General features: G+C 36.4%; 1 long non-coding RNA gene and 1 pseudogene across 1 annotated transcript in view, besides 1 other annotated feature; one reads left to right on the forward strand and one right to left on the reverse strand.

The window, feature by feature from the left end:
- Window positions 1,773-1,942: an enhancer, noted in NCBI's record as "active region_20848". NCBI's record gives its function as "activates an Ori minimal core promoter by ATAC-STARR-seq in GM12878 lymphoblastoid cells {active_cell/tissue: GM12878}" and the evidence as "EXISTENCE:reporter gene assay evidence [ECO:0000049][PMID:35858748]".
- The window catches only part of LINC01014 (long intergenic non-protein coding RNA 1014), a 38,105-nt gene continuing 20,380 nt past the window's right edge, over window positions 1,894-19,618 (forward strand). Inside the window, exon 1 of the long non-coding RNA NR_046786.1 lies at window positions 1,894-2,068. This is a non-coding gene — a long non-coding RNA (long intergenic non-protein coding RNA 1014). The remainder of the gene's footprint in view (window positions 2,069-19,618) is intronic.
- RNA5SP148 (RNA, 5S ribosomal pseudogene 148) lies at window positions 11,890-11,983 on the reverse strand (annotated as a pseudogene).

A 19,618-nucleotide genomic window follows, 5' to 3' on the forward strand; every position in this document is an offset into this window, starting at 1 on the left:
AAGAAAAAAAAAAAAGGCCTAAATGAGAAGTCATTATTATCCCAAATCCATAGTTTACATTAAGGTTCACTCTTGGTGTTTATATTCTATGGGCTTGGGCACATTAATAATGACATACATTCACAATCAAAGTATCATGCAGAGTAGTTTCACTGCCTTAAATTCCTCTGGGATCTGCCTATTCATCCCACTCTCCCCAGTTACCTCTGGCAACCACTGATCTTTTGGCTGCCTGCATAGTTTTGCCTTTTCCAGAATGTCATATAGTTGGAATCAAACAGTATGTGGTCTTTGTCGATTGGGTTTTTTAACTTGGTAATATGCATTTCAGGTTCCTCCACATATTTTCATGGCTTGACAGATGATTTCGTTTTAATGCTGAATAATACTCTATTGTTTGGATGTACCACAATTTATCCATTCGCCTAGTAAAGGACATCTTGGTTGCTTAAAGTTTTGGCAATTATAAATGAAGCTGCTATAATCATCCATGTGCAGGTTTTTGTGTAGACATAAGGTTCAACTCCTTGAGGTAAATATCAAGAAGCACAATTGCTGAATCACACGGTAAGAGTATGTTTCGTTTTGTGAGAAACTGCCCAACTATTTTCCCACATGGCTGTACTATTTTGCATTACCATCAGCAATAAGTGAGAGTTCCTGTTGCTCCACATTCCCACCCACATTTGTTGTTGTCAGCGTTCTGGATTTTGGCCATTCTAATAGGTTTGTAGTGGTAGCTCACTGATGTTTTAATTGTGTTTCCCCGATGATATATGATGTGGAGCATCTTTTCATATGCTTGTCATATGTATATCTTCTTTGGTGAGGTGTCCGTTAAGGTCTTTGGTCTCTTGTTAATAGTATTATTTTTATTGTTCATTTAAATAATTCTTTGTACATTTTGGATAACAATTCTATAACAGATATTTCTTTTACAAATATTTTTCCCAATAGGTGGCTTCTCTTTCCATTCTCTTGTCAGTGTCTTTCATAGGGCAGAAATACTTAATTTTAATGAAGTCCAGATTATCAATTCTTTCTTTCATGGATTGTGTCTTTGGTGTTGTCTCTAAAGAGTCGTTGCTAAACCTTAGGTCACTAGATTGTTTTCTATGTTATCTTCTAGAAGTTTTGGAGTTATATGTTATATATTTAGGTCTGTGATTGATTTTGAGTTAATTTTTTTAGAAGATGTAAGGTCTGTATCTAGATCCTTTTTTTTTTTTTTTGCACTTGGATATGCAGTTGTTCCAGCACTATTTGTTGAAAAGACTGTCTTCTCCATTGTATTGCCTTTGCTCCTTTGCCAAAGATCAGTTGAGTATATTTATGTGAGTTTATTTCTGGGCACTCTATTCTGAAAATATTACTTTTTCATCTTATTGCACATGGATAGAGACATAAAAAATGCCAATCATTTCAAAGCAGCAAAACTGCTCATGTTCTCCTGACTGGTTAATCTCCCCTCAGAACCAGCTATACATTGCTAGCATGATTATTTTTTCAGGACTTTTAGCCAGAAATTGCTATAAAAATGGGCTTTTAAAACAACTCTGTTCTATTACTTGATTTGAAAACAAACTAAACCATTTTAAACAGTTACTAAAATAAACAGGAGATTCAATTTCTATGCCCTGGTATAACTCTATATATCAGAGATGTCAAGAAGCTACATTATCTTTGCACACTATATGCTATATTGATATGCAAGCTTATGACATGCCTTGTTTAAGCAGGGGAAAAACTAGTTTCAGTACATTTCTGGACTAAACATTTCTGGGTTAAAGTACAATTTCAGCATCTGAAAAGGGGATCTGTGAGCTATCCATGCTAACATGGGGAAGGTTTCAGAGGAGGAGCCCTTCCTTCCCTTCGTTGCCATTAGCACAGGTCTCCAGGGCACGTCTTTTCTCCTGGGTTTCTATGTTTGTTTTACTCACTGCCTCTCGTTCCTCTGCTTACGACATTTTCATGAATAAGCCAGAAGATAGTCAGCACAGAAGCCTCCCTACAACCTGGAAAAAGAAATGAGCTTTCACTTTGAATATCACACAGACATACTGAGGTAAGTCATTTAAAAAAAATCAGTAGAATGATTTTTAAAGGAGTAGTGTTATCATAGATATTTCTATTGGCATATTGGCCTAACTTTTCCCACTTCTCAATAGGGAAATATGACTTAGCTGTAGTATCAAAACAAGAAATGTCATATGAGCAATTGATAAAGTATCCAGAAGTGTTTTGCCATATATACATATATATAATAAAAAGCAAAAGAAAAGCTAATGGCAATCAAATTTGTTAATTACTGAGACCCTCAAACTTGTGTTAGTCCTTTAATCTTTTACTTGCTGTTGTATCAGGTAAAAATGCATTTGACAATGAAAGTTACATTTTTATTCCAAGATGTTGCTTGAGCGTCCCGTTGTTTACTATCTGGAACAATCAGGGGCTGGAACCAATAATAAACCCATGTTATTAAGGAATTGGTCACCTATTCTAGCAGAAATGTCAACGCATGACAAATACATTTCAGAATAGGTTTATTTGAGCAATCTTGTTTTCCCATTCTTTAAAATTATTGCCCTCTGATTTATCTTGAATATTTAGCTAATATTCGAATTCATATTAAAAAGTTAAAGAAATGAATGTATTTTGTTAAAAATCACCATAAAAATTCAGTTAAATAAGCCCCCAAACCAAAATTATCTCTCTCAAATCATACAACAATATTAGCTTAAACTGAGGGCCTGGCCCTGATTGTATGAAAGGCTTTTATTCAAGTAATCCAAGGAAACAGAGAGGAGCAGTTGTTATTCACCTCACCATGAAAAGGCAGCAGGTGAACAAATACAATGATTGTTGTGGAAGAGCAAATGCTAGATGAATATGTATATTTATGAAACGTATATACATATTGAAAATGAAAATGTATATTTAGAAGTAGTCTCCAATCTCCTAAGTCATATCTAATATACCACTGATTATATTTTTATGAGTTTTCTTATGAAATGAGCAATGCCAAGTGAGTCATAACACTAGACTTCAATATTTGTAATGTTACATTTTGAGTCCTTCTTTGTTTAATGCATATTACCAGAAGAAAGTGTTTGAAATTACACCTTTTATAACCCATATGCAAAGCAACTTCTCTGACCTACAAATTATTTGAGTAATCTTAAAATAATATGATACACAATAAAACTGGAATATCATCTATTGAGTTTTTACAAATATTTTTATTTTTCCTCTATGAGCTTTTTTATAGCTTATAAATGTTTCCTATAAATCATGATGTTATTTTCTCTAATAATTTAAAAGTGCTACATGAACTATTTCATTGTTTTTTAATCTGTTCCTTAAGTTAAATAGAAAGTCTTATTAAGAAAATCATTTATAAATTTAAATCCCTAAATTGGTAACCAGTAAAGTATAAACTCATCCTACTTTTATGTTTTCAAGTTTGACTAGTGTTCACACATAATGATCTTGAGATATAACTGTTTGTAGAGAGAAAATTCATGTATTCTGTATTCTCCAATGCCTTAAAAGTATTATGTAGAATGCAACAATAGTGTTCTGCTTAAATTTTATTGTATGATTTTTTTTAACCTGAAGAAACAGGGAATTCCTCAATGCTAAAAATTTAAAATAGCATTGGCTTTACTTTTTTTTTATTTAAAGGATGATTATTAAATTGGGCATTTAATCTGGAAAATTCAAATCTAGATACATGGATTGAATTGTCCCTAAGCAGCAAATGGAGTCTATTTTGAATGGTTAATTTATTTTCAGGCATACACACTTCCTCTGCTATAAAATCCCTCAATTTGGTCCAGTTCCATCTGTCTTTCTTGTTTGTTTTAAGTGACTGAAATAAAAATAATCACAGTTCAAGCTTTCCTTACCTACACAGGGAAGATGGAAAGAGGGTACACTGTGGTGCCAGTCTGGTAATCATTGATGAAAAACTGTCAGGGAAGAGCAGTCATCTATGTTTGTTCAAGGAAAGCTGATCCTGGGAAACAATATTAAATATTTTATAGGCCAGAAGTCCTACTTAAGGATTAAAAAAATCAATAAACATTCCACCCAACATGTTTGTTGTAATAACACGGCATATATTGCTGACCATACATCATCACTTTCTCTTGCCTCCAGTGCTTCATTCAAACATTTGCGCATTTTTCCCTGAGCACTAAATAACAGAATCATTAACAACATAATAATCAGCTTAGGATCAGTAGATATGTAACTAAAATTATTTAATGACACATTTCTTTAGAAATTGTAACTGTACTAAAGTCCATTCTTCTCTCTGAAAAATTTATTTTGATCACTAGAGCTTGTAGACACTAATATGTGACTGCAAATATAAGAGTTGTCAAACATGAAAATTTGTATGTACACAAAGGATTGAAAGAAATCTTTTAAAACATGAATTTGGTTTCTATGTCTGGAGGTGGATACTAAAAAGTGTAAAACATGATCCCTGGCACTTAGTAGTTGATGATCTGGTTGGAGGAACCCAGGAAAGTACATGGGAAATAAATGATTAATGGCAAAACCAGAGATAATAACAATAATTTCCAAAGGAGTTTCAGAAGGTGAAAAATGTAGGTTAACACCTCAATGAAGGCCGTGGGTATTTGAGAGGAATTGTAGCATTATGTGGACACCCAAATAGGATCTGAACAAATTGAGGGGAAAAAGAGGATCAGTTCAAATGTCACCTCCAGAGCTACTAGCTTCTTCAGGTTTCCATCTAATGCTTTCCAAGCAATGGCACTTGTTGCAATATATTGTAGTTAATTGCTTACTCCCTCTCCCCTTCCCTCCCCCTCCCAACACACTCTGCTTACATCCTTATGAACTACTAAAAGGCAGAGCAAGATCTTCATTTTTGTATTTCCAGAGTCTGAAGGTGCTCAATAAACATGTGTTGAGTGCATTTTTGAGTGATTACAAAGCAATACAAGCAAAAGCACAGGGCAGAAATAAACACAGCATGTTCCGATTTCATTGAAAGTACTAGCTGTGCAGAAGAAAGCATTTTATGTTGCAGATAATAGAAGATACGTCAAAATAGTTCAGGAGAAGTCAGATCTTTGAGGACCTTGCTTGTCTAGATGAGCATTATCTTCTCTTTGCTGGATTCATGACTCTAATTTCTCTTGGTCAACCCAGTCCCATTATCTCCCAACCTTCTGTGACCAAAAGGTAACACTAATGAGATCTGAGATCCTCCTTTGGTATCAATCCTTAGACTTCATTCTGCCCCCTATCTGTGACATACACAAGGTGAATTTTATAAAGATTAATCTGGCCAAGTACAGAATGAGTTAGAGAAATAAGAGCTATTGCAAAAGACCTGTCTAGAAGACAATTCTGGAGAAAGTTTTAAGGAAAGCCACTATAGAGGAATAATTTAAAAAATTGGTATTGATAAACTGTAATATAGGATATAAAAGAAAGGGGAGCAGTTAAATAAACTCCAAATTTCTATGAGAGAGTAACTGTGCTGCTGACAGATGTAAATGTAGGAAGAAAACTCTAATGGGTATGCTACAAGGAAAAGATGGCAAGTCTGTGTAAGGCATGTGGAGCTGGGGATGATGCATTGACACACAGTGGAAATATCTTAGAAATATGAGGAGGTACACGTGGAAGTAGAAATGACAATCTAAATATAGTGAAAGTTGACACTGCGACTATGGGTAAGATTTTAAACACGGAAGAGAGCTCTGGACCAGGAATTTTAAAAGTATCTGAATGATATGAGTGTTTTTAAGTCGCTCAATCTCTTCTCTGTAGATTGAGGATAATACCTCTTCTCTTTACCTCATGGGGAAGATTTAAAAATGAAATGGGGATAAGACTATTTAATAACATAAAGCATTTTGTATTATTTTATGTTTATTTAATATTTTGTGGGAAACACAATAATCATAGCAACAAAACTTAATTGGAACAATTGCTAAACTCAAGAAAGTCACGTGGTTTCTTAGTAAGTGTAGACAGTAATTCATTTGCTCTCTTGTATATAAATTGTCTAGATTCATTTTTGCTTCTCATGTATGCAGTGAAAACAGTGCTCATAACTAAGTAGATGTTTTAGTGAAATATCCTACCATGGCCACATTTAATATATTTCTCCAATGCACTGAACTTTTGTTCCCAGTGTCATGAAATGTAGTCCACAGAATAGTGCTCTCATCTTATACGTTACACATACCCTCATTGTTTACAGCTAGTTAAGTATTTATATCTGGAACTTCTCTTTGATGAGCCCTTTGACATTTTACTCTTCTCATTTTCAGAAGTTCCCTTTCTTCTTCCTTCCCTGACTTCTTTTGTCCTGGAGCTCCATTTCAATCTCCCAACCTTTGTGAGCTCATCTCTGATGTCTCATTAGCATTTTTCCTACAATTTCTCAGGGATCTTAACACTTAGGCAATTTTTGCATTTCTTCAAAAAATTTAAATATTTGAGTAAGTAGCTAAATATTAACAATGCATAAATTTTTAATACACATAAAATTAGTAGAAATATGAACTCTTTTTAGATGATACATTTTAATGTTATGTAGTAGAAACTCTAAGCTGATTTTTAAAAACCTTTTTATTGATACATAATAATTATACATTTAATGGGGGGTATATGTGATATTTTGATAAATGCATACAAGGTGTAACGATTAAATCAGGGTTACTAGGATATCCAGTACCTCAAACATTTATCTTTTCTTTGTATTAGAAATACTTTAAATCTCTTCTTTAGCTATTATGACTTATTATTAAATATCATTATTAACTATAGTAACCCAACTGTGCTATTGAACACTAGAACTTATTTCTTCTATCTGATTCTGTTTGTATTCATTAACCAACTCTTCTTCATCCCCAACTGCTGAGACCAGCTCAGTCGGGGAGACCCTAACCCAGCGGTGCTAGAGGAATTAAAGACACACACACAGAAATACAGAGGTGTGAAGTGGGAAATCAGGGGTCTCACAGCCTTCAGAGCTGAGAGCCCTGAACAGAGATTTACCCATGTATTTATTAACAGCAAGCCAGTCATTAGCATTGTTTCTATGGATATTAAATTAACTAAAACTATCCCTTATGGGAAACGAAGGGATGGGCCTGATTAAAGGAATAGGTTGGGCTAGTTAACTGCAGCAGGAGCATGTCCTTAAGGCACCAATCGCTCATGCTATTATCTGTGGCTTCAGAATGCCTTTAAGCGGTTTTCCGCCCTGGGTGGGCCAGGTGTTCCTTGCCTTCATTCTGGTAAACCCACAACTTTCCAGTGTGGGCATTATGGCCATCATGAACATGTCACAGTGCTGCAGAGATTTTGTTTATGGCCAGTTTTGGCCAATCATAAGCAAAAAGAACAAAGTTGGAGGCCCCATGTTACTCAACTTCAAGCTATACTACAGGGCTGCAGTAACCAAACAGCATGGTATTGGTACAAAAACAGGTAGCAGGTGTACAAAGAAGAGCTGATGCTGTTCCTATAGAAAGTATTCTAAAAAATTAAGGAGAAGACACTCTATTCTGATAGTGAGCTCAGAAATAAGGCTGCATATCTACAACCATCTGACATCTTGTCATCTTTGATAAAGCTGACAAGCATTCTTTTTTCTCTGTATCCTCACTGGCATTTGTCATTTTTTTGATAATAGGCATTCTAACTGAGGTAAGGTGATATCTCATTGTAGTTTCTATTTGCATTTCCCTGATAATGTGATATGGAGCATGTTTATATATACTTGTTAGTCATTTGTATGCCTTCCTTAGAGAAAAGTCTATTCAGATCCTTTGTTTGTTTTTTTACTGTTGAGTTGTTGGACTTCCTTGTATATTCTGAATATTAGTAGCTTGTTGGATACATAGTTAGCAAATATTATCTTCCATTCTACAGGTTGTCTCTTCACTCTTGATTGTTTCCTCTGCTATGGAGAAGCTTTTTACTGTAATGTAATTTCATGTGTCCAGCTTTGTTTTTGTTGCTTGTGCTTTTGAAGTCTTAGCCATAAAATCTTTGCCTAGACCAATGTCCTGAAGTGTTTTATGATTTCTTCTAGTAGTTTTACAGGTTTTGGTATTACATTTTAGTCTCTAATTCATTTTGAATTGATTTTTGTATATGATGAGAGACAGAGATCTAGTTTTATTCTTCTGCATATGGATATCCACTTTTCCCAGCACCATTTATTGAAGAGCGTCCTTTCCACAATGTATGTTCTTGGTACCTTTGTTAAAAATCAGTTGGCTATAAATGTGTAAATTTATTTCTGGATTTTCTATTCTTTTTCATTGGTCAATGTGTCTGTTTTATATCAATACCATACTTTTGATTACGATAGCTTTGTATTACATGTTGAAGCCAGATAATGTGACACTTCCACGTTTATTCTTTTTGCTCAGGATTGCTTTGACTATTAGTGGTTTTCTGTGGTTTCATACAAGTTTTAGTATTGTATTTTCTATTTCTGTAAACAGTGGCATTGGTATTTTGATAGGGATTGCATTGAATCTGTAGATTGATTTGGGTAGTTTAGCCATTTTCATTAAATTAATTCTTCCAGTTCATGAGCATGGGATGTCTTTATATTCTTTGTGTGTGGCCTCTTCAATTTCTTTCATCAGTTTTTTGTAGTTTTCATAGTAGAATTCTTTCACCTCCTTGGTTCAATTTGTTCCTAGGCTTTTTTTGTAGCTATTTTAGGTGAAATTACTTTCTTGATTTTTTTTTTTTTTCAGACGGAGTCTCACTCTGTGGCCAGGCTGGAGTGCAGTGGTGCCGTCTCAGCTCACTGCAAGCTCCGCCTCCCAGGTTCAACTTTCTTGATTTTTCTTCCAGCTAATTTGTTATTGGTGTATAGAACTGATACTGAATTGTGTATGTTGGTTTTGCATCCTGCAACTTTACCAAATTTGTCAGTTCTAAGAGTTTTTGCTGGGGTTTTTAGTTTTTTCTACATATAAAATTGTGTTCTCTACAAAGAAAGACAATTTGGCTTCCTCTTTTTCAATGTGTATGTCTTTCATTTTTTTTTTCTGTTGCCTGATTGCTCTGGTGAGGGCTTCCAGTATTAAGTTTTTAGAGTGATGAAAGTGGGCATCTTTGTCTTGTTCCAATTCTTAGATGAAAGGCTTTCAGCTTTTCCCCATTCAGTATGATGTTAGGTGTGGGTTTATCAAAAACGGCCTTTATTACATTGAAATGTGTTCCTTCTATGCATAATTTGTTGAGAACTTTTATCATGAAAGGATGTTGAATTTTATCAAATTCTTTTACTGTATTTGTTAAAATAATCATATTTTTGTCCTTCATTTTGTTGATGTGATGTATTACTTTTATTGGTTTGTGTGTTTTAAACCATCCTGGCATCCCTGGGATAAACCCCACTTGATAATGTTTGACTCCTGTATCAGTGAGTTTCATACTTTCTGTGTTTTCATTATGGCAAATATCATCCTTTCATTTCCAGATATAATACCTCTGTAAGCATTTCATGCAGGGCCAGTCTAGTGATGATGAATTCTCTCAGTCTTTGTTTATGTGGAAAAGATTTCATTGCAGTTTTTAAGGATAACTTTCCTGGGTAAAAGTTTTCTTGGCTGGCAGCATTTTTTTTGTCAGCAATTTGAATATACCATCCTATTCTCTCCTGACCTGTAAGTTTTCTATTGAGAAACCAGCTGTTAGTCTGATGGGAATCTCCATATATGTGACTGGACTCTTTTCTCTTGTTGTTTTTAGAGTTGTCTCTGTCTTTGAATTTTGACAGTTTGCCTATAACGCGCTTTGAAGAAGACCTTTTTGAGTTGAATCTATTTGGGGATTTTGAGCTTCCTGTCTCAGACTGCCTATGTCTCTTGCAAGAATTGAGAATTTGGGCCACTAGGTGACATATGTAAGCACCAGCAGTGGAGGATCCAGGTGAGTGGGTCCTCAAGCCTCCAAGAAGCATGCTCAGGTGCCAGCAGTGGCAGCAGTGGGTCAGGTGGGTAGGTCCTCAGATCTTCAGGTGGTGTGCATGACATTGGAGTGGCAATAGTGGGGAGGCAGGCTAACCTTTGGGTTCTGAGTGGCATACATGGGGGCCAGCAGTGGTAGTGGCCAGCTGGGTAAGTCAGTCCCCAGGTCCCTGGGTGGCATGCATGAGTGGGTGCCAGTGGTGTTGGCAGTAAGCTTAGCAGGCTGCTCTTTGGTCTCTCAAGGGGTATGTGCAAGCATGAGTGACAGTTGGGGTAGGCCCATCTTTAGGCCCCGGATGGCTTGCATGTATACCAGCAGTGGCAGGCAGAGCTGGTCAGTTTGTAGGACCCCTGCACAGTATGCATGGGCAGTGGCAGTAGGTGGGATAGACCACCCTCTGGCCCCAGACAGTGTGCATGAGTGCCTGCAATGGCGGGCATGGCAGCTCCTTGGAAGATGTACAGAGGCACTGGGAGGCAGGGCAGACCTGTCCTCAGGCTCCTGGATGGTGCATGCAGGCACTGGTGGTGGCAGGTGTCACAGATGAATCTCCAAGTCTCCAGAAGATGTGTCCAGGTGCCAGCAAAGCCAGCAGCATATGGGCCAGGCCTATCTTTAGGCTTCTGGATGGTGCACACAGGCGCTGGCAGCGGCAGTCAGGGTAGGAAACGTAAGACATTTTGCAAATATATATTGTTATTCTTCTCCATACTTATTTCCCTGCCCCACCCACGATCATATTTCATAATAAAAATAAATAAATCATCATATGATAATTAGAGTAATAACATTAACAAGTAATCACAAAAACACATACTTGTTAATATGCAAATAAATCTAATTTATGTTCTACTGTGTATCACAGAGATGAAGAAATCTAAAATAACATGAGATAAAACATAGAAAAGCAATCTTGTTTCTGTAGTTTAGTAAGTGCTAAGTATTGTGCAATGACAGTTATATGCATTATTTAATTTAATCTTCATAGCAACTCTATAAAGTAGAAATTATCCTGTTATGTCAATGTGATATGTAAGCATTTAGGTAACTTTTCTATGGTTCACATAATTAATGCCATATCATCATCTAATCTAGGATGACAGTAACATTATTGTTTTATTTACCACTCATGGGGGCAAAAATATGGCGAATTAGACTACAACATGCCATCAATTACAACATTGTGCCTCAATTTCATAAATATTACATGTACAGGAAAAAAGGTATCTTGTTAATTGATGAAATATTGTAATTGATAGCTATGAAATCCTTTTTTGTTTTCAATCAATACACAATACCACTCCCCAAAAGAAAAATGATTTATAAATCCCTGTTTCAGGGTTGTCATTGTTTCTCTAATACTTGGTACCACAATCAGCTAGATTTGGATTATGGTCCAATGAGCTTTAAGCCAAACAAGCAAGGAGGCATATATTGTTTCACCAGCTATACCCCATTTTATTTCATGGTATTTCCCGTTAAGAAGAATCATGGCAGGATCTGAGACTCAAAAGCTATTCTAAACATTAGACCACTACCGATATTACTGAATTTTTTTGAAATATAGCCAGAATGGCTCTTCTGTGATAAGAAAGAATCAAGTGTCCAAGAGAGATTTAGAAATGACTGAAAACTCTCTCACAAAGAAGAGAGACCATTATACCCAAATAAGTTGTCATACAGATGTCTAGTTGGCTTCATTAAAAGTCTTATAATCAATGAGGATTCAAGATATATTTTGTTGCATTACTAAATGAGGGTTTTCTTTTTTCATCACGATCCCAAAAAGTAAACACTGAGAACCCACACAACACAAAGTATATTTGTTTGGCTTTACAAAGTGTATTGAAAATTATTTCTATTATTTAACTCACATATTGTCACTTTGAAATTATATCTCCCCTCCAAGTACTAACCATGGCAGACCCTGCTCAGCTTCTGAGATCAGATGAGATTGGGCATGCTCAGGGTGGTAGGGCCAGAGACACTTTGAGATTATGTCTACAAAACAATCAATAAAGGTAATACTGAAGCCACTTGTGAACCGTATACCACAAATGAGAAATTACACTATAAGTTGCCAACGAAATATTTTCACAAAGCATCAACTACGCTCAGTCTCTCTAATGCTGTCCCCAACCTCCAGTCCTCTCTAAGACTACACACATGAATACAATCAGAAGGAGCTGGTGTCACCTCAGATATCACCACTCAGCCTAGTATATACTTCAGATCCCTTAGACATGTTAGGCAAGGGACCACAAAAGGCCATGAGACAAACCAACAATGAAAGGGAAAGGGAAGGGGAACACATTCATCCCAGTTATTTACACTAAGTTAAAAATCTCCAGATAGAATCACAGGTGTTTACCTGATTTATACAAGACTGTGAACTCCAAAAGGGCAGTGCTGGGACCCACTCATCTGTATTCCCAGAGTTTAGCATAGGGGTGACACTCAGTAAAAACTGGATGGGGTCAGGCATGATGGCTCACACCTGTAATCTCAGCATTTTTGAAGACTGAGGTGGGATGATTTTGAGACCATCCTGGGCAGTAAAAAAAGACTACATCTCTACAAAAAAATTAAAAGTGTACCAGGCATTGTGGCACACACCTGTAGTCCCAGAATCCTGATCCTAATAGTCATGTAGGAACGATCCAACTCAGTTTTGCATAACTAACCAAATATAACTTAAAAGAATTTTTGACCAGGGGTTTTATGACAAATGAATTTATTAAGAATAATCAAAGCCACACTTTTTAAATGAGAATATATCACATTTACATATCTATGATAAACTCTAAGAGATAACTTAAGGATATTCAGTGGGTTATGCTATCAAACTCCAGATTCTTTTGCACATATAATAACCCATACGAGTGGAGCAGGGGAGTAGCTATTATCCTCTGATAGCTCCCATGCTATTGTTTGTTTCAGTTGTCAGCAACTGAGATGCTCATGCCTGATTTCAGAGCCCTCCTTACTAATTATTGGTCTTGTTTGCTTGCTTTTTATGTTTGAAGTATTATATTTTATCACATTTTCAAAACATTTTATGCTCTTGGCGATGCTTTCATACATATTTCTTGGGATATAGTTGGTGCTTCCATGAACATTTTTGAATGAAGGAATAAATGAGTAATTATACTTGTGCTGTCAAAAACTTCTTAAACGCTAGCCTCTCTGAAGACAAGAGCAACAACTTCGTAAAGCAGTGCAATGTGTACAGAAAAATTTCTATAGGAACCTTTATGATTCACAATGTATTTTTATGAACAGCATTTCATTTCATTCTTATGATAGCCTTGTGACTGACATGAAAGTAAACACATTACATCGTAGTGAGTGGTAGTATGTATAAGACGCAGAGGAAGGAATGATGGACTCTATCTGGGAAGGCATCCTGCAAGTGTTGACCTACAAATTGAGTTTTGAAGGCAAAATAGATTGCTTTTAGGTAGGCCTGAGCAGGATAGACATTCCAGACAGAAGGACGAGCATGTTCAAAGGCAGATCAGGCATCATTATTCCCATTTATTGAAGGCTTAACGCCCAGTTAGTGAGTGATAGGTAGGACTTGAATCTACTTCTGATTTTTAAGTCCTGCATTATTTCACTACATTTTATTATACTTCTAGTTCATTTAGTATTAGCCAATCAGTTGGTACACCTGAAAGATAGGAACTGAAAAACAGCTACAGGCTTCCTCAGAAATAACTTGTTGGGGCACTACAGTAAAATCCATAAAGAAGAAAATTCAAAGATAGGTAATAATCTGTGAAAATAAATCTAGGTGACAACAGGAAATAAGGACCCAACATCAGAGGCAACCCAACTGAAGGAAATCAAACACCTAATAGATGCCCTGAATAAACATAATAACAATAGTAATCCAGAAAATAAGTCACTGTAAGTATCCAACTTTGGAATACACCCCAGGAGAAGATTAAATAAGTCATCATGAAAACAGACCAAGTAGGATTCCACTAATAAGAAAATATTTTATTTTTTAAAAACCACACTAAGTTAATAACTATTTTTAAAAATCATTATATAAAACCTATTAAAATGTCCTCACATCCCACAGTAGACATTGTTTTTGCTATAAAAATGTGAAAATATTTTTATAATTTTCCTTTTTAAGTTATTTGGATCTGACTAGTTTATTTAATTTATGATCATCAAGTATCCAGCAATCATGGTACATGCTTCAGAATTCTTGTAAGTGAGGAAACTTAACCTAAAAATTGTTTTCAAATATTATAAAATGTTTGTAAATATTAACTATTAATCAAGCTTATATAATATTACATTTTAAAGCTACTAGGTATTTTTGAATTAATATCACCAGGATTTTTCATATTTAGGGGCCAGTAAATTGTATCTTTCACATCTGCTAAAAATGCCATAAATCCCTGGCATTATATCTGTATGTCCACATTGGCCAGTATATAATAAGGGACCTACTTAAAAATTTATATATGTACATATGATGTGTGCAGATTTAAAGTAATGAATCTAAGTTACAGGGTCAGGTGTACTCTTCTATTTTCAAAATATTTATATTTTATTTTAATATTTTACCTGATTTTAGTAACAGATTTCTAATGTTAAGAAGCATAGCATCCAGGTATACTATTGCAGTTTCTTTCCCTATGGCTTCCAACATTTTCCAATGCAGAGCTGACCTTTTGTCATTTACATACAACTCCACTTAGAGATAGTAGGATTCATACAATGAGACCTGCCATAGAGTTGCTTTCCTGCACAAGCTGTCGGGAATTAAACAGTGTTAAAAGTGCACACTTTAAAAATACTCAGTGAGTTGAAACTAAGTGAAATAAAACAAAACAAGAAAGGCAACCATTTTTTTTTTTTCCCAAAAATTGTGTGATGTGGTTTGGATGTCTGCCCCTCCAAAAGCCATGTTGAAATGTGATTCCCAGTGTTGGAGGTGGGCGTGGTTGGAGGTTTGGATCATGGGGTGGGGCACGGGGGGTGGTTCCTTCATGAGTGGTTTAACACCATCCCCTTGGTGACAAGTGAGTTCTGACTCAGTTCACAGGGGATGTAGTTATTTAAGAGTCTGGGGCCAGGTGCAGTGGCTCATGCCTGTAATCCCAGCAACTTGGGAGGCCAAAGCAGACAGATGACCTAAAGTCAGGAGTTCAAGACCAGCCTGGCCAACATGGTGAAACCCCACCTCTATTAAAAATACAAAAATTAGCCGGGTGTGGTGGCAGGCACCTGTAATCCCAGCTACTCAGGAGGCTGAGGCAGGAGAATCACTTGAACCCGGGAGGCGGATGTTGCAGTGAGCAGAGACGGTGCCACTGCACTCCAGCCTGGGTGACAGAGTGAGACTCCATCTCAAAAAGAAAAAGAAAAAAAAAAGAGCCTGGGACTTCCCCCTTCTCTCTTTTTCTTGCTCCCTCTCCTGCCATGTGACTTACCTGCTCCCCTTTTGCCTTTTGCCATGATTGTAAGCTTCCTGAGGCCCTCACCAGAAGCAAGATGCTGGAGCCATGCTTGTATAGCTTGCAGAGTCTTGAGCCAATTTAACCTGTTTTATTTATAAATTACCCAGTCTCAGGTATTTCTTCATAGCAACTCAAGAACAACCTAATACACTATGTCAATAATCTTGCCATCCGGCCTTCCCCAAAAGCTTTCTATCAGAAGCATATGGTAGGAGATTTTAACAAGAAGGGAATGTGATTTAACTATAAATGAGATTAAGTCCCAGCTCATGCACACATCTAAGCAGATTTTGTGAAAAAAGAGTTTTTGTGGGGGAAACATCTTATTCAAAGTATGAAGACATTCCTGTTTGAATACTTTAAAATAGTGTTCTAAGTTTAACCTGAAAAGCCAATTATCCCAGAAAACACCCAGGAAATCAGTGTGAAGACAGGCATCAAAATTAAGCTACCAATATTTCCCTAGTCTTGCCAGTTATTTCTTTTTTGTTTCTGACTCTGACCAAGAAATGGAGCAACAACGGATATCATGGCTTGTCTGGATACATCTTTCCATCAGGCTTGTATTGAAGCCCTGTAATATTACACAGGACTACAGAGTAAGCATCAACAGTGACAGTGGGTGGTAGCTCAATTAATAGACATTCATTCATTCACCTATTTATTGCACATTGATAGTGAGAATGTGGTCTGTTCTTAATGCTTGAGATACAGAGACATCTCTGCCCTAAAGAAGCTCAAAATCAGGTATAAAGCTATGAATCAATTATTTATAAATTGGAATCAATATATCAACAAAGAAAGTGATAAAGTAGAAGCCTGTACAAATGTAGAGTCACAGAACAGAGAAGAAAGAGATTAATAACATTTGCAGAGACTCAAGAAAGAATCATTAGAAAAGATAATATTTCTTCTAAGCATGTAAAGATGAGTAGGAGTTTACCAGACGACGGAAAACTCATTCCAGGCAGAAAGAAGACTGTGTGCAAAGGCCCATGGTTTGAAAAAAAACTAGTGTATTTGGGGAACTTACATTTAGCTTGGGTTTCCTAGAGCTGGGAATACACGTGTCTATTGAACACTTGAAATGTGTGTAGTATCAAAAGTTAATTAACATGATAATATTCTGGGTAACCTATTGTTGTTTGGAGGTATTTCTTTTATTTGGTTAGTTGGTTTTTCCTCTCTTAATATGGCTACTAGAAAATTTTAAATTTCATATGTAACTTGAATTATATTTTTATTGGACAATGCTATCATAGAGTATAGAAAATGAAGAACTAATTATGAGAGATAAAGGTGGATTAACAGGCAGGGGCCTATTATGAAGAGCTTTATGTGACGTGAAAGATAGTCTCAACTTGCTCTCCAGAAAAATCTCATATAATAATCAAAGAGCAGTCATGGGAGGTAGTGTGATAGGGACATTGCAGGGGTAGGAAAATCTTGCAAAACTCCTAGGAAGGCAAAAAGGAGAGGATTGAGGCAAGACTCCAAAGGTAATCACCACTTAGGTGGGTAGATCTGCATAATGAGAAGAGGAAGATTAGTTGGACGGAGTGATCACAGCCCAGAGCATAGCACATATCATTTTACAGTGGCTTGCATCACAAGTTCTCATCATCCAATTATTAGGACTTTGTATTTCCCAACGGAAGCAGGAAATAGTGCCTGGCTGCACTCTAGACACTGTAACTGCAGGTTACACTGGGCCTTGTAACGGTAATGTGACTTTACTTAATGAACACTCTTCCTATCATTTAATACCCAACTTGGGAATAGATCTTATCTTGGCAGATAACGGGTCATGCTCTCCAGGAACAAGCAGAAAATTGAAGGAAGTGATGTTTTCAAGGCAGCAGATGGCACTCTTTTCTATGCTTCAGTACTAAAAGTTTCAATGAAAGAAGCTCTGTCTTCTATAGAGAATCAAAAATTTAAAAGACTGCAGCACTTTTCGGGAAAGTGAGGGATGCTTGGTTCTGAAGTCTGATCTACATAGAAATGTTCATGCCAAGTTCTAGAAATTTATTTATTCTAAGGAAATGATTTGAGAGAAGGAGGGCATGGAAAACATATGCATAATAATGGGCATTGCAGCACCATTTATAAAATTAAAAGCAATATAAATACTCATAGATAGGATATGGGGAAATTTTTGTCCATGTAGTTAATATAATACAATACAATATAATATAATATAATTAAACCATAAAAATGACAGCAGTTGAAAAATGCTTCTTGGCTAGATACAGTAAAAATGGTATTTATATAAAACAATCTTTGATCTGTAAATACACAAAAAGTGTATGTATTATACATGTACATATATATACACACATGAATATTAGACTGAAATTTTTGATACAGAAATGAACATAGTTGTTTAAGGGCGCTGGGATTATTAATGCCCTTGTTTTTCACATTTCAAGTAGTATCTAAGTAATTGCCTAAATATGACAGCATAGCTTCCCCTCCTAAGAGAGACTTACCCAGGAAGCCCCAGGGTAATCTGTGCTTTAGGTAATTTTGAAATAGGGAAAGAAAGTTAAAGTAGTCAAAGACTCACCAAAGCTCCACCAGGTGGTCAGGCACTGGGAAAATTGACCTAGCACAGTGTCTAGAGCTAGCTTTCTCTAGACTTGCTGTTGGACCTGATGCAGCATTTCTTACCTTCCTCGAGGATGCTGTTAAGAAAGAACTGGCTACTCGAAAGTGAAGCTCTGGTGTTTCAACTCCAGAGCTTGCATCCAAAAAGTACATGAGGTTGTAATGATGGATAGTTGTTGGAATAACCATTGTTCTCACTGGTCCCTAGAAAGGGATCTGTGGCTCTGCAATGGGGAGAAAGACAGGTTGCTGTTTGCTTCTCATGTCAGCACTATGGCTCAGAAGGAAGCACCATAGCCGCAGTCACCCCAGGGAAGTATGAGGCACAGTCTCCAACACCACTGAGGCATCGCCGCTGCAAGATTGATTCTGCCTTAGGGGAGGCAAGACAAGGCTGAATGTACAATGTGTAACTACCATTCGCTGAGCCTCCATTGTTAAGCAATCTTTGTGTCAGGTGCTTTACGCATGTTATATGCCTTACCTTCAGAGCAACTCTAGACAGGTTTTACAAGCCCCACTTTGCCCAGGAGGAAACTGAGACCCAGAGAGATTGATTATTATATACAAGCTTTCTTAATAAGAAAATTACTGAGTTGAAATGAAACTCAGTTATCTGATGCCATGCTCTTTTCACAACACTACTTAAATGCAAACGGTCCCCTCTCCTGAAACCTGGCATGCACTGGCTCCTGGATAAGCTTCTCCTTGACTATAGACTCTTAGGGGCTAAAGAAATGAGAGCACAACAGAATATTGAGTTTCAAGTTACTCAGAACTCCCTCAGGAAAACTTCCTTGTTTTACAAATGCAGAAAATAAACCCCAAGGGGATAAGATTCTATTTTAAAACAATATTTGTACAGTACTGTTATGGGCTGAATTATGCCTCTCCAAAATTCATATATTGAACCTCTATTACCTAGTACCTCAGAATATGACTGCATTTGGGGTAAGAGTCACATTTAGGTTAGTTTTTATAAAATGAAAGAGTTGTATAATGTCAGAGAACAGGCTTTCATTCTAAATGAGATTCTTTCTCCTTCTGAGGTTAAGCTAAGTGAAATGTCTTTTGGGCAGAATCACAGAACATTAGAGACTACTTGTTGAGATTATCTCACCTTTTCTCATTGTCTAGATGAATACATAGGACCAAAGAGAAAGAATTTTTGCACTTATTGTACCAAGATATGTTCCTTTCTTTCATGAAATTGAGAGTACAACAAGTAATTGGCAGCACTTAGTGTCAGTATTGCTCTTATGCATTTAACTATAAACAGAAGGGAGAATATTTTTAATGTTTTCTTTACTTAAAAAAGAAATCCTACAAACAAGTTGATATTCTTGTGTCACAATAAAAATACTCTGTCTGTTCCCAATTTGTCAAAAGGACAAGAATTTTCAAGCTCTCGACAGGACCCTTAGAATTTAATCATTTAAAAAAAAATGTTTTAAGTTTCTACTGAGAGTTCTTCTCAATTATGTCCAGTAGGTGGCATTACTTTAACCACACAAAGCAAGAAAACCATG

Source organism: Homo sapiens, chromosome 3 (assembly GCF_000001405.40).
Source record: "Homo sapiens chromosome 3, GRCh38.p14 Primary Assembly".
Classification (NCBI taxonomy): domain Eukaryota; kingdom Metazoa; phylum Chordata; class Mammalia; order Primates; family Hominidae; genus Homo; species Homo sapiens.